We start from the raw sequence: 16298 nt of genomic DNA, 5'->3' as shown, positions 1-16298 counted from the left end.
GGAGAGCAAACCTCAAGAAGAAAGACAGTATAGACTCTGAGGGGAAGCATCAAGATGCCTGCCTAGCCCTGCCCTCTCTCGTTGGGCAGTTTAACTCGTTTGATAGTTAAATCGTGAACTCTGCAGGTATACCCTACATGTCTATGAAGCTCTCTGTTTCTTGATATTAACTTTTCTCTTAATGTGCCTACCATCAACCTCTAGCTAAATGCATTTTTGTCTAAAATAATCCATTGGATTTCCTAGAGTATCAAGATTGGAAAAAAAAAATCAGACCTAGAGATTTTTTGTAGATCCTTTAACCAGGCCAAGAGGTGAGGGAGGCACTGGATGCAGGTGCAGAATTTGGGGATCAAAAAATTCTGCACTCAAGATAAGTGATCTTATAATGTATGTGTTTTTTTTTTTTTTTTTTTGTAAAAAAAAAAATTGATTCAAAAGTAACACATGATCTACAAAATATTCAAGTTTTAAATAAGGACAGAATCTAATCCTGCTATTGTCCAACTCAAACTTACCCACCTCACCTTGGTCCCAGGCCTGTCCGATAGTCTTATTTATTTAATCATTTAATTTTTATAATATGTGACATTTTTAGTTTGAATGAATTTGTTGCTCTCCTGGTGCCTGGAAGTTTAGGTAGAGTTTACATTATATATCCCATGATATTTGCAATGTCCATATACTAAAAAGTTATTCACAGACATTTTTCTCCTTAAAGACAATTTTTGTGGCCAAAGTATTTATTTGCTACACCGAGTTTTATTTTACTAGGTGTAGTAGGCATAATAATGGCCTCCCAAAGATGTCCATGTCCCAATTCCTAGAACCTATGATTATGCTTCTTTACATAGCAGATAAGAATTAATGTCAGCAGACAGAATTAAAGTTGCTAATCAGCTGACTTTCAAATAGGGAGATTATCTTAGATTAGGTGAACGAGACCAATGTAATCAAAAGGATCATTAAATTTGGAAAGAGACAGAACAGTCAGTGTCTTCATGATGTGATGTTAGAATGACTTGACAGGCATTGCTGGCTTTGAGATGAAGAAGCCACAGGCCAAGGAAGTTGGGCAGCTTCTAAAGCTTGAAAATGCAAAACAAAACAAAAAAGCAAACAAAGATTCTCACTTAGAGACTCTAGGAAGGAACACAGTCTTGCTGACACCTTGATTTTGGATATTTTATTCCCCCAAACTGTAAGATAATTAATTAGCATTGTTTAAAGTCACTAAGGTTAATGACAATTTACTACTTCAGCAGTAATTAACAAATATAGTTGCTGCTTGGTATCCGGGGGGGATTGGTTTCAGGTCCTCTGTGGATATAAAATTCCTCAGATGCTGAAGTCCTTGATGTAAAATGGCATGGGTATTGTCATATAACCTTTGCATTTCCTCCTATGTACTTTACATCATCTCTAGATTACCTGTAAATCCTAAATCGATGTAAATGCTAAGTAAATGGGTGTTAACTTATATTGTTTAGGGAATAATGACCAAAAAAAGCCTGTATATGTTCAGACCAGACACATTTCTTTTTTCCTGAGTATTTTCAGATCAACACAGAGGGTCGACTATATCCTAGTTTCAAATCATGAATTGAGCATAAAATTAGTAACACAAATGACCTAAGCCTACATTTGTTTAATGGAGAAAAAATGATGAAAAACTCGCAACAAGTTACTGAACTTTCTATGTTTTTTTCCTAGAAATGAGCAAGGCTCATATGATAACTCTTCCTCCCTCAGAAGGCACTCTGAGCTCAGTATTACATGAATAGCCCATTTATTTCAGATCTGTAGCTTGGAATTTATTGTGAACAGATTCAGTCTTAGGTGAGGGTGGAAGACATATGTATCCATTCCATGATTTCATATCTCCAGGATATTCCTACACCAAAAGCACTTCCTCCATAGAATTTGCAAAGAGTAAATATGTACTGTCAGAGATTTATTCTTCTGGTTCAAGGTCTAATTCTTTATTAATCAATCACACACCTCCAAAGTGCTATTCTTAAAAAAAAAAAAACCAAAAAAAAAAAAAAAACCCCAAAAAACAGCAAATTGCTGCCTTGCAAAACATCAGGCTGCCTTTAATGCCTTCAACCCTCATCTGAGTTCCAGAAGTGAAAGATCATAATCCATAAAAACCTGAGGTCAAAAATGTACGTTCTTAGAATCTGCATTTGTGTAGAAAGTGTCAGACTCTTAAGAAGGTAGCAATCTTGGCTTGTCACTTGGCTGGTCAGCCACCAGCTATGAATGTCGGTTACCTGCTCTTCACTTTGCCATTTTTGTCCTTGTTGCCTGCTCCAGATAAGAGGGAGCTGAGAAACAAGAGGGTTGACATAAATTGAGGTTAGATTGTAGTTTATTACTAATTCTTTCTCTAGACCAGATAGACTATTTGAACAGTTTGTGAAAACTAAGCACCTTCCCTTTAACATTGAAGGTACATATAGCTTTAGAGGAGGTTTCAGAGTTTTATGTTTTCATGGCCCAACCTAACAGACTGAAATTACCTGTGATGATCCCATCGCTTTTTCTTGGCAAGACTGGGGTGCCTATATTTAAGGGATAAGTGCCATTTTAAATGGAAGTAAAATGATTAATTTTATTTCAAGGATAGAAATTCTGGCTATCTCTTTACGAGTATATCCTTTTATAATTAAATGGAAGAGTTTTGGGGCACCTAGAGAAGCTCATAATATATGCCTGGGGCACTTTATACGGTGAACCCTTGCCATAAGTGCCCCATGTGGTCTCTTCACTGTTCTCCATCACAACTTTGGCTTTCAGATGACTTTAGCTTCGCTATTCCTTTATTTTGTCCCGGCATGTATTGAAAGAGAAGTTAAAAAAAAAAAAAAGACAGGGCACTGAAAGAGAGAGAGAGAGAGAAAGAATGGTAAGAAAAGACAGAAGGGATGGAAAAAGGAAGAAGGAAAGGGAGGGGGAAAGGAGAGGGAGGAAAGCAGGGAGGGAGGAATAAAGAAAAGGGAGGGAAGGAAGGAGAGAGGAAAGGAGGGAACAAAGGTGGGAAGGGTAAAGAGGGAAGAAGAGAGAAAGGGTCGTAGATCGCATTTCCTTGCTTACTCATAGACAGGACTCGTATTAGCCCATTTCACACCGCTATAAAGAACTGAGTAATTTATTAAAAAAAAAAAAAGATAGGTTTAATTGACTCACAGTTCCGCAGGGTTGGGGAGGCCTGAGGAAACTTACAATCATGGCAGAAGGCAAAGAGGAAGTAGGCACATCTTACATGGCAGCAGGAGAGAGAGAGAAGAGGGAAGCACCATTTTTAAACCATCAGATTTCATGAGAACTCACTCACTATTACAAGAACAGCATGGGAGAAACTGCCTCCTCGATCTAATCACCTCCCACCAGATCCCTCCCTTGACATGTGGGGATTACAATTAGAGATGAGATTTGGGTGGAGACACAGAGCCAAATCGCATCAGGACTCCAGCAATTCTTTCTCTCACCTAATCTATCTCTTATTCCCCTCTACTGCATCTATACCAACTAAAAGAAAAACACTTATTGGACACACAAGAGCTCTCATCTTTTGCATTTGCCCAGCTTTTCAGGGAAACCCTATGAAAGGGGTGCTACAGAGTCCCCACATCCTACCACCCTTCTTTCCCTCACTGCCACTCAAACCTGACTTCTGTCAATAGGGTCACAATGCCTTCTGCATGACCTCACTAAGCTCTGCCTCTGCCCATTGATATGACCCCTAATTATGTGGTCACTGGAGCTGCTTTCAGGTGTCCTTGTCCCAAGGGACATACAGCACACAGCCTGTGGAGGGTGGAGGAACCAACTGCAAGGTGGGTTTCCAGTAGGGCCAACTGGTTTTAAATAAGGGGTGGGAGGCAATAAAGAGGCTTGCTTTCAGGGTGTAAGTGTAGGAGACAGGAATGTAGACAACAGATTTCAGCCTCCACTTTACTTTCTAGTGGTATTATTATTATTATTATTATCAGTAGTATTATCACCATCATTATTTGCTGTGGTATGAGTGTTTGTGTCTCTCCCCCAAAATTCATGCTGAAATCTAATCCCCAATGCAATAGTATTAAGAAGCGGAACATTTGGGAAGTGATTAAGGAGCACTGACCTTTACCCACTTGGCCCACCATGACCCACCTGATGCAGACTTTCCCCCTTTGTTAGGGAAGTGCAATTCAGACAACCTTTTATGCACGACCCTGTTCATTCTCTGAACCTCAAGCTCTATTGCTGTCAAACACACAGAACTAGTTTATCTCACTAGAGATGTGTTCCTTTATTCAAAAAATATTATCTTTCTTTTTTAGCAAGAAAGACTGTAAAATAAGCAAAAGTTTTGATTGTGGATAGTTCAAATCCCAGCTCAATCACTAGTTGTATAACCTGCATTGACTTGCTCAGAGAAAATATCTATCTCATATAAAAGTTATGTCAACTAAGATACCACTTTCAAGACTCATGGTACGTGATAGGTGTTCAAGAATGTTCATTCTTACTGGAGTGACAGAGGAGTTTCTATATTATTTTATTAAATTATGTAAACTTAAGTTATGCTAACATTTAATAAGTGAAATTCAGTGTGTTCCTACAATTTTAGGCCTTATCTACGACCATCTTTCTCCCACACCCAAAATGGCCAAAGTTTCCCTACCAGCCTCTAATTCCATGGGCCCTAAAAGGCAAAGTTGTCCTTATTAAGTTTTAAATTTTAGGGATTTTTTTGAGACATTCCAGGCTTTATGGAGGAAAGTAGTATCTTGTGTGATTTCAGGTATCCAGAAGTTGACTTAAAAGTTCCTCTTACAGGTTAGGTTCATTTGCATTTCTCTAATGACCAGTGATGATGAGCTTTTTTTCATGTTTGTTGGCTGCATAAATGTCTTTTTTTGAGAAATGTCTGTTCACATCCTTTGCCCACTTTTTGATGGGGTTGAAACTCTTGTGGTGATCCTAGTTAAAACACAACTCTGTGTGGATAGGTATTGGGTAGCAATTGACTCCTCCTAAGATTTTTTTTTTTCCTGAGACAAACAGTAGGAGGTTGACACTATAGCCATCACCAAATAAACAGGAGACACTGGAGCTTTGAAAGGTTGAATTATTTGCACAAGATCACTCAGTTGATGAATGGCAGAGCAAAAGTTTTGAAACCAGGGTTATCTGACTTTAGAGCTCTTTTATTCTTAGGTACAAAAAAAAAATTGTCTCTATTTTTGCAAAGACCACAGCTTACATCAGAGCTTGGCTGATTTCTCTGATGTCTACATCTCATCAACAATCTACCTTTTGGCTTCTCAACACATACTGATTATTAATGTAGGGTGACCACTGTTAGAGAGGTCGAAAGGTATGCATCCCTGAGTTTCCTCCCTGCCTTCCTTCCTTCTTTTCTTCCTTCCTTCCTGCCTTAGTCCATTTGGGATGCTATTAAAAAGTAATATAAACAGGGTGGCTTATAAAGAGCAGAAGTTTACTTCTCACAGTTCTCGAGGTTGGAAGTCCAAGATCAAGACACCGGCATAGGTGTCTGGAGAGAGCTCGCTTCCTTCTCTGTGTTGTTATGTGGTGAAAGGTACAAACGAGCTCCTTCAGGCCTCTTTTATAAGGGCAGCAATCCCATCACAAGGGCTTCAGCTCCACGACTTAATCACCTCCTCAAAGCCCGCACCTTGTAATATCATCACCACTTTGGGGGTTGGCATTTCAACAGATGAATGGGGAGACACAAATATTCAAACATTCAGGCCACAGCACTTCCTTACCTCCTTCCTCCCTCTGTCAATTTATTCATTCATGTATTGATTCTTTCATTCAAGTTTCATTTGTTTAAACAAATACGTGAGTACCTCGTCTCTGCTAGGTACTTCTCAGGGGCTGAGGAAGTAAGGTAATCAGACAGTGCCTGTTACTTTAGAAGCTCACAGTGTAGAGAAGAAGAGAGATGTAGAAACAATATAAAGCAACACAGATGTGGAGGGGAAAGAGAGAAGGAGGAATTTCAGTGTTTTACCGTGTATACTTTCTGCTGTTTAATTCCTTTACCATAAAAATGCATTGCACTACATGATTAAGAAACTCTTTGGCCCCTAATGTGTCACCTAGTTGTAATCTATGCAGAAGTTTGACATGGTAAGAGCCTGCCTAGAATTATCGCTTTTAACCAGGTAGCAAAAAAAAAAAAAAAAAAAAATCAAACATTGAACTCAACCAAGGAAAAAATGTAATTTCCATTTACAGAATTTCTTCTCCTTTTTTAGCTTCTAAAATGGGTGGTTTTCCAAAAAACCAAGTGCTCTCATTTATAAGTGGGAGCTAGGGTATGAGTTCAAAAAGGCATACAGAGTGATATGATGGATTTTAGAGACTCAGAAGGCCGCAGGGCTAGGAATACAAAACTACCTATTAGGTACAATGTACTCTACTCAGGTGACAGGTGTACTAAAATCTCAGAATTCACCACTATGTAATTCATCCATGTAACAAAAAACTATCTGTACCCCAAAAACTACTGAAATTTGAAAAGAAGAGAGAGAATTTAACCTCTCCTTAATGATTCATGTAGCACTTTCAGATCTTGAAATAAGGTAATGTCAGTGGTATTAAATGTTGGTTAATTTAATCCATAGATGTGTGGAAAGAGGCAGTTGACAGAAAGTAATCTTGCATGAATTCAAAATGCAATTTTAATCAAAACGCAATTTTAAAATAGCTGCCCTTACATGGTCTGGCATTAAAAATAAACTTTTTTATAGAATGGAAGAAATAAAAAATGTTTAAAGGGTGGTTTTCTTTATATTTCCAAAAGGAAAGTTGATAGATGCAGAGACATGAAATGAATGAGGATAAATGAATAAATGGATGAATCCTCAATATCACTATTTTATAATAATTTATTCTGGGGAAAAAAGGCACCAAACCTCAGAGCCATAAGCAGAAATGAAAATCCACCAGAAAATGCAAAATTATTGTGAAGACTTTCTATTTGAATAGGAGGAGACTTGGATCTGTAATCATGAGTCCATAGATGGAACATTCTCAGGTTACAGCCATGCCATAATTTGAACATTTGAATCAGGAATGCAAGCTTTTTCTCTCTAGATGAATTGTTGTCGTTGTTGTTGTTCTTCTTCTTTTTAAATTTTGCAGTGATTTACTTTGAGTGGAGTCATTTGCTCTTGAGAAGAAGCATCACCACTAAAGGATGCTTTATTTTATTTCTGAAAGGCATTTGCAGGTAGCTCAGCAGATCTGTTTTGCCACTTTTGTATCACGCCCTTGTGTGCTTAGCCACATACATGTAGAAATTGGCTAAAATGAAACAAAAGTGCAATAAACTGCTGCTTCTGGATTTAAGTATTAGTTACCCAAAATTATTTCAAAAAAGATCCATTTACTCTATGTATGTTCATTTTTTTAAAATTTCAACTTATTTTAGATACAGTAGGTACATGCGCAGATTTGTTACATGGGAATATGGTATTATGTGGTGGTTTGGAGTATGGATCTCATTACCCTGGTACTGAACATAGTACCAGATAGGTAGTTTTTTAACCCAACTCCTCCCTCCACCCTCTAGTAGTTCACAGTGTCTATAATTACCATATTTATGTCCATGTCTGCTCAATGCTTAGCTCTTATTTATAAGTGAGAATGTGCAATATTTGGTTTTCTATTCCTGTGTTAGTTTCCCAGCTGAATTCAAACTCATTCCCAGATCACTTGTCCTCCTCAATTGATGTACACTGAAGAAAGAGCCACCTTCAGGCTGTAAGGTCATCGTATAATCCTGACCACTCATTTCCCATCATGACACTGCTGTTCCTTCTCTTTCTCCTTCTTGGATGTCTGATACAAACAGCCTCAGGTAAGCTACAAGTCCACCTGGAGGATGATGAAGTGGATGCCCTTGGAGCTGACGTAGGCCAAATTGATTGATCAGCCAAGGAAGCACTGAAATATGGAATAACTGAACAGCTGCATAGCTGAGAAAAACACAGCATGTACAACAAATTTCATTTTACAAATCAGGAGAGAGAAGCTTAAAGAAATTTAAAATTTTTTCCCAAGATTACATTCATCTAGTTGTTGCAATAGATACCAGACATAACTAACAATTGTGATAGATAACATTAATAGTAGGCATCACAGCTTACAAACCATTTCCATGTGAATCAAAGCAATGGCAACGACAACACTAATACTAATAACAAATAATGCTGACCACTTTCTGTTTACCAGACATCACGGCAAAGATGTGTTGTGTTTTTTTTTTTTTTTTTTTTTTTTTTTGGTGGTGGTTTGAGACAGAGTCTAGCTCTGTAGGCCAGGCTGCAGTGCAGTGGCACAATTTCAACTCACTGCAACTCTGCCTCCTGGGCTCAAGCAATTCTCCTGCCTCAGCCTCCAGAGTAGCTGGGATTACAGGCATGCGCCTCCATGCCCAGCTAATTTTGTCTTTAGTAGAGATGGAGTTTCTCCATGTTGGTCAGGCTGGTCTTGAACTCCCGACCTCGGGTGATCTGCCCCCCTCAGCCTTCCAAAGTGCTAGGATTACAGGCGTGAGTCAGGTGGCTTTCTCAAGTGCCAGCAGTGACAGTGGTGAGCTCGGTAGATAGGCATGCCCTCAAGACCCTGGGAGGCATGTGTAGCATCAGCAATTGCAGTAGTCATAGCAGGTCAACTCTCGTGACCCCAGATGGCATGTGCAGACACCAACAGTCATGGCAACATGATGGACAGAGTAGTCCTCAGGCTTTCACCTGGTGCAAATATGTGGGCACTGGTGACAGCTGTGATGGCAGGCTGGGAAGTCCTATCCTTAAGCTCTCAGGAGACACACAGGTACTTGATGGTGATAGGCATGGTGGATTAATTCCCAGGCTCCCAGACAATGTGCACAGGCACCACCAGGCTGGGTGGGCTCATACTCAGTTCACAAGAAGGCATGCACAGGTGCCAATGACAGACAGCAGTGTGGGTTGATCCCCAGCCTCCTGGACAACGACCTTGGGTAGTGGTAGTGACAGCAATGGGTGGGATGGGCCTGTGCTCTGGCCCTGGAATAGTGCTCAGGCAGGTGAGTCCCCAGGTCCCCTGAGGATGCCTGCAGGTGTGCAGTGGCCCTGCTCCTGGGGGCCAGGATTGCTGTCAGTGTCAGTGGTCCTGGGAAGGTGACTCTCCACTTGAGAAGAGTGCCTGCTTCAGCTCCCTTTGTTCTGGGGGCAGCCTCCCTAGTGAATGGCACTGCCAGTTCCCTGGAGTGTAGGACACTGTGTAGGCTAGAGTGATGGGGACCAAGCTACACTGGTGAGTTCAGCTGGTATTGTGACTCTGCAGGACTCTGGATGGACATGAGGGAATGTCACTGAGGGTCCAGAGATGTGGAGATGCAGGGGCTGTTGGGCCCCAGGGCAGGATGTAGTCTTTTGGGGGCTGGGCTCTCAAATTGGCATTGTGCCACAGCTGCCTGTGTCTGGGGGCAGGTGCAGACGATCCAGTGCCAACTCCTTCTCTGGGACAATGACCATCACCTAGACTCCAGGCAGCTCCCTATAGCAGTCTCAGGGCCTGCGAGGGCTGAGAGACTGTCCCTTGGCTAGGATTGCAGTGTCCACAGTGGGAATATGGACCACTGGGGCTCTCTTTTTTACCTTTTCACCACACTGGAGAGCCTGTCCTGGCTTTAAGCTGATTCTGGCTGGGCAGCTGCTTCATTTTCCTTCCTTCCATACCTCAGAGATTCCTCATCACTTTGCTGCTGAATTCTAGTGCCCTCTTTCATGCCCTCTTCAAGGTATGATTATCTACTTGCTGTCTTGGTCTTTCTTTGGGAGGACACAGTGCCTGGTACCTCTAGTCAGCCATCTTGAAGACCGCCTCCTAGCAATGAGAGGATAATATTCTATGTGACGGCTTTAATATACGTGTCCAAACTGCTTCTTTTCTAAGAAATAAATGTTATATAGTGCAAAAATATATTAAAGGGACAGTTGGTGATGCAGTTTCAAGAGTGCACTGAGGAAAACTTGGCACTTCCATAGGGTTGAGTTGGTTGGAATATATCTCAATCTCCGAGATTTTGAACCCAATGTTTTGAACTTTTTGAGATTTCGAGTAGTCCATGTGACATAACTTAACATTGTTTCTTGGCCAAATCAGGCATAGTGAAAAATAAAATCCAGCTAACATACTTTTAAATATCTTGATTCTATACTCTTTCAATGACCAAGGGGAGGCCCCCCACTACTTTACACAAAAAAGAAAACTCTATGAATGAGAATCTCTTCACACAAAGCCACTAAAGTTGTGTCTAAATGGAGGAAAATTGTGACAGGTGGTAAAAGCACTCAGTGGCTGTTGTAGGCAGAATAATGTCCCCTCTGTCTCCCGCCAAAGCTATCCACATCCTAACTCCTGGGTCCTGTGAATGTGCCACCGTGTAAGCAAAGGGGAATTGAGGTTTCCTGTGAAATTAAGGCTGTTAATCACCTGACCTTAAAATAGGGAGATTATCTTAGATTATCCAGGTGGGCCCAATGTAATCATGAGTCCTAAAAAATGGAAGAGTGGGGAGAAGATGAATTCAGAATGATGGAATGTGAGGACTCAACGCTCCGTTGCTGGCTTTGAAAATGTATGAAGGAAGCTATGGTGCCCAGGAGTAACCTGCCATTGCTGGGATAAAGGTGCAGGAAGAAAACTGCAGAGCTTCCAGAAGAAAGCTCAGCCCTGCTGACACCTTGATGTTGGCCCACTGAGATCCATCTGAAACCTGCAGCCTATAGAACTGTCAGATAATGCATTTGTGTTGCTTTAAGCCACTAAGTTTGTTGTAATTTGTTATAGGAGCCGTAGGAAGCCAATACAGTATTTTAAAAGATGGAAGAAAATGCTGAATGATTATGCCCAGTGAAAGCTGGGAAGCAAAGGAATTCCCTGAATCTTGGCCAGGCATACATGTACAGACCCAGGGAATTGCCTCCGAAAAGGGTGCTGAAAAAATTGCCTTTAATCTGAGTGCAACTCTTTTTATAATTTAGATTTCTGGTGAAGTCTGGTTGACGTGATTGTGCAATTTTCCCATGTGCTGCACCTTTATCAGGGAGAGACAGACCCCCGCAAGGCTGCATGGAATAGGATGGCGCATTTTCCTAGTAAAAAAGGGGAGTGGTCTTCCCACATGCAGGGTGAAGGGTTACAGTGCTAGACAAAAGCAATGGGTATGATTGAAAGTTCCCCCACCCTGCTGTATGTCATTTTCAACTAAGAGCTCATCTAGATGGGATAGAAGGATACTGGAAACCAAACAGTAATCAAGTCATAACATGTAATATAAACTTTTTTTTTTTTTTTTTTTTTTTTTGAGACAGTGTCTTACTCTGTCACCCAGGCTGGAGTGCAGTGTTGGGATCTCGGCTCACTGCAGCCTCCACCTCATGGGTTCAAACGATTCTCCTGCTTCAGCCTCCTGCGTAGCTGGGATTACAGGTGCCCGCCACCATGCCTGGCTAAATTTTTGTATTTTTAAAAGAGACAGGGTTTCACCATGTTGGCCAGAATGGTCTTGATCTCCTGACCTCATGATCCACCCACCTTGGCCTCCCAAAGTGCTAGGATTACAGGCATGAGTCACCGCACCCAGCCAGTAATATAAACTTTTAAAAGAGGTTTTGTGCTGGTTGGTTTTGGTTTATTCTTTTTTGAGGATTCAATAAAAATCCCTGTGAGAAAAATGGAGAGAGGGAACGGGAGACAGGGAGACAGGGAGAGGGAGAGAGAAAAAAGAGAACCTAAAACCTCCAGAAAACAACAGGCTTCAGTCCTTTTTGGGTGTAGTGCTCTCAATTCTTGGTTGATGCCCCAGAGGCAGGCAGCAGGGTCGGCTATTTAAACATCTCCCTACATGGATTTCTGTTTCGAGGCAAAAGTCCCGACAGGAGCCATTTGGACGTTCACAGATCTCCTTGAATTTGCCCTTGGCTACATGCAGAAGGGGTTATTGTAACCATTCATCAGTCTTTCTTTACTTTGTATTGAATTACATGGACGTAGGGGGCAGTGCCTGAAAATAATCTTGTGTGGATTTGTGTGTGTGTCTGTGTGTGTGTGTGTGTGTGTGTGTGTGTTATTTGATTTCTTAAACACTTAAAAATCTGCTGCCACACAAAAATTTGGATTTTTTGGTGTTCTTGAAAAATCTGAGAATATTGGGTGCACCTACATGACAAAAGGCTGGAGGTGAGTAGCCTGCTTCCCTTTACAAGTTCTAGAGCATACAAGTTTCAGTTTATTTCTTCCTTATTGTCTTCTAACACTGATGGGAGATGTCAGCCTTTTAAGAAAATATAATGTCCTGTACTATGGATTTTCCTGGAGTGAAAGAGAAGAAAATCTCTTTTGGATCAGCTGTTTTTATTCCTACACACACACACACACTCTCTCTATATGATAGATTATAATAGATGTATCTTTCAAAAGTAGAACTGAAATATAGACCTAAAAGATAATATACTTCAATTGTTAGAGAGGATATTTTTCCTGTGGAAGGGAACAATATTCCTATGTGTTTAATACATAAATATATCTGTGCCATTACTTGTTACACCCTGAGACTTCACTCACTACTCATATCTCTGGCACTGGTCTTTGAGGTTGCAATTTTTCTCTAGAAACCATTGCATATATTAAGAGTGAAACATTCAAGGTCTTCTTAAAGGCTCAAAAACTATACTTGTTGAAAACATTGAATAGTATTTCATTTATGTCCTAAGATATCACCGCTCTGGGGATAGGCCACACACTCTGAGGTACTGAGTTTGAAAAGTGTTTTAATTCTGAGCAGTCTTTGTATGTAACACAGAGCACCTTTTCCATGATAACTTCTTGGCAGTAAGAGAGGTATAAAAACCAGCACTTTTTTTTTTCTATTCTGGAACACAAAAGCCAATTCTAGAATAGCTTTCAATCAGTACAGCGATTTTAATAAACATTCAATAAATGCCTATTTAATTGACCTGAAATCCAAATGTATTAGATTCCATTTAACTTTTCAATGGTCACAAAGCAGTTAGTGGATTGATGTGAAGACCAAATATATGCAACATCATATTTATATCTGTAATGCAAATTGGGAAATAAAGGTCATGCTTTTCTGAAGACAATGGTAATTGTAAATGTTGACCACTTGGTAGAAACAAGCTGAAATCTGAGTTTTTTGATCCCTGAGCTTTCCATCTCTTCCTTTTATCTGTAAGTAGTCAGCTACTACATATAGTAGTACCCAAGCCCACTGGCCTTGTGCTAAAATTGGCCCTTTGCAGCTGGAAGAGTCATAAGAGATTAGTATAGTGTAGAGGATGAACCACTGACCTGTCTTGTGATATGTGATAAATCACTCTTGAACATCCCTCTGTGGTAGTACTTCTTGCATTCTACTATGGGTGGTGTTTTCCCATCTGACCTCAATTCTTGATAATGAATTTCTTGAGGGCAGGAATAGTATCTTATTCTCCTCTGTATGTATATTCCAGAATCTGATTAAAGTCTTGGCTTATAATAGCTATTCAGTAAATGATTGTGGAATAATTGATTAAAATACAGCTATTTTCTAACTTGCAATATGTTTGTGCAGAAATTTGTTGTTACTCTCGGTTCAGAGGTCTTTGAATCATGTGTACTATTTTACTATACCTGATTCTATTGAGCATTATATTTTCAAACCACTTTTCGAGAAACTTAATACAGAACTAACATTTGACCCAGTAATCTCACTACTGGGTGTATATCCAAAGGAAAATAAATCAGTCTTGTAAAAAGACCTAAATCTGTATGTTCATCACAGTGGTATTCACAGTAGCAAAGGTATGGAATCAAACTAGGTGTTCATCAACAGTGGATTGAATAAAGAAAATGTAGTACATATATGTCACGGAATACTATGCATCCATAAAAAGAACAAAATTGTGTCCTTTTCAGCAACATGGGTGCAGCTGGAGGACTTTATTCTAAGCAAATTAGCTCAAGAACAGGAAGACAAATACCACATATTCTCAGTTATAAGGGGGAGCCGAGCAATGAGTGCACATGGACATAAAAATGGGAACAAGAGAGATTGGGTCTTACCAGGAGGGGAGGGAGAGGGAGTAAAGTCTGAAAAGCTACTCTTTGGGCACACCCTACCTGCGTGACAGAGTTATTCATACCCCAAACCTCAATATCACACAATATACCCATGTAACAAATCTGCACATGCACTCCCTGAATCTAAAATAAAGGTTGAAGTTATTTTTAAAAATTGAAATTACAAAAGACTTTTTAAAATTATGATGTACCATTGTTCATTTGTAAGAATTCAAGTAACATTAGGGATTTTAAAAATCTTTCGTTTTCATTTGTTCTTTCTTGTAAACCTTGTGTATTGCATATTGTGGACACTATGTCTTTTCCGGCCATTTGCTTTAGGAACAAAAGATAGAGTTACAATGAACATAGGCTGTCTTGTCTAGTCACCTACCTTAAAGTTGAGGAAATAAGCTGATGGAAAGGAAGAAACTTGCCCAAGATTACCCAGTGATCGAGTGAAGCAGATGATAGGGACAGCACTAAGGCTTGGTATTCTGAGCCTCATTCTGTTTTCCACTCTTGCCCTCTCTCTGTGTCCTCCTCTCCTCTCTAGCCTTCTACAAAAAGTTGGCAGTTCTGCTTCAATGTCTACCTAAGGACATCCAGAGGAGATGCCACCTTTCATTAGGGTGCATTCTTTAGCACCATCCTGTGTTTTCTTCTCCAGGCTTGTTGCATCCCATTTTTGACTGTGAGTCATGCTTCTGCCTGTGCTGTTCTATCCAATTAGTTGCTTCTATTTTGATTGAGTAACAGTGAAAACAAAACAAAACAAAATGTGTTTATCCAAATTTGGAATTTTTAAACCTTGATTAAAAGCATTGATTTTCTGGGGTTATATATGTAAGACACATATTTTAAAATATTTTTAACTGATTAAAAAAATCAAACCCATGTATTTAGCCAGGATGACTATTTAACAAGTACTAGTGAGATAGGAATTCAGTAATGCCACAAGGATAATAATCTTATGTCAGTCCCCGATGTTGTGTGCTACCGAGTTAATATAATTGGATATGGTATCACCTTTTTTCAGGCTTTAGAAAGTAATACAAAGGAACAGCACAACAGAACTCTAGGGTGGGATGTATAGGGAAAGCCAGGATATTAAAACAAAGTGTTGACTCTGACATTTACCCCACTGTTGGGAAAAACAGTTCAGTTTCCAGGGCCTTAATTTTTTTCTCTATAAAACAGCAAAAATAGAGGCAATAAGTTGCTTATTCGTCCTTGAATACACATGTTCAGGAGTTCCAGAAAATTTTTGAATCTACTTTGGGTATCTGGTAACCACCTTGGGCCAATCCAAGAAGTCCTATACACACTTCTCCAAAGCATGTCTGTGCAAGGGGCCTTATACCTGTGATTAATGTTCGCATGCTGAATGCAGTAGGCTATGCTCTGGTGTGGGATCATCCCTGGTTCCTGTGTTTAAATTCTACATTACAAGACTAGATGCTGAGAAGGAAGAGGGACAGCCAGGGATGGAGATGGAGCCTTAAGGGGAAAAGTCAAGCTCCAGGGACCAACAGTATCGGGGAGCAATAGGTTAAAGATTTCTTAGATTATAGTAATATTTTCAAAGAGACTTCTTCCACCAATCCCTTCTGTCTGAGCCTACCACAGCTTTGGCATAGCTCTTATGCCAGTTCTTAGGATAACTGACTTTTGCCGAAAGAGGAGCTTTGGAGACAAAAATTTAGTAGAATAATGCCTGATTTTTAATTTTTGAGGTCTAGTAACTGCTAGTAAACTTGCCTAATTTGGAGATGGAATAAGAGGGTTTCAAAGACTTGAAACACCATTGACTTCATTTAACTGGGTTGCTATGGAGAATTAACGAATTAGATGGCTGCAGGCCTCTCAGCCAATGAGTCTTCCAGGTTTCCTATGAGACCCCCTTTTCTGGTCATAGGTGATGGTGATTTCTCTTTGAGTACTGAATCCCTGTAAGGTGTTAGGCACTCTACTCTTACCAAGTTTATTTTGTTACCTGGTAGAACTTGGCTCATAAAGAAGAAAATGGTGAAGAAGAGGACAGCAATCCTCATGGCTGAAGAAAGAAAAAAGTTTGGCTTCATTTCCAGGAGGCAGAGAAAACTTCCGTCTGTGGCTCTCTAGCAGCAGTGGAATGTCTCTGTTTGGATAATAAG

General features: G+C 40.1%; 1 protein-coding gene and 1 pseudogene across 1 annotated transcript in view; one reads left to right on the top strand and one right to left on the bottom strand.

Annotated features, from left to right (window-relative positions):
- The first annotated feature begins 3781 nt into the window (after positions 1-3781).
- The window catches only part of ZNF705G (zinc finger protein 705G), a 30042-nt gene continuing 17525 nt past the window's right edge, over positions 3782-16298 (top strand). Inside the window, exons 1-2 of the mRNA NM_001164457.3 lie at positions 3782-3842; positions 7739-7888. The gene's annotated coding sequence lies outside the window, so the exon portion shown is untranslated. The remainder of the gene's footprint in view (positions 3843-7738; positions 7889-16298) is intronic.
- DEFB108C (defensin beta 108C) lies at positions 11692-16196 on the bottom strand (annotated as a pseudogene).

The sequence above is a fragment of the Homo sapiens genome, chromosome 8, assembly GCF_000001405.40.
Source record: "Homo sapiens chromosome 8, GRCh38.p14 Primary Assembly".
NCBI lineage: Eukaryota > Metazoa > Chordata > Mammalia > Primates > Hominidae > Homo > Homo sapiens.
Note: the sequence above shows the minus strand (reverse complement) of the source record. Positions and strands in the feature narration are given on the sequence as shown.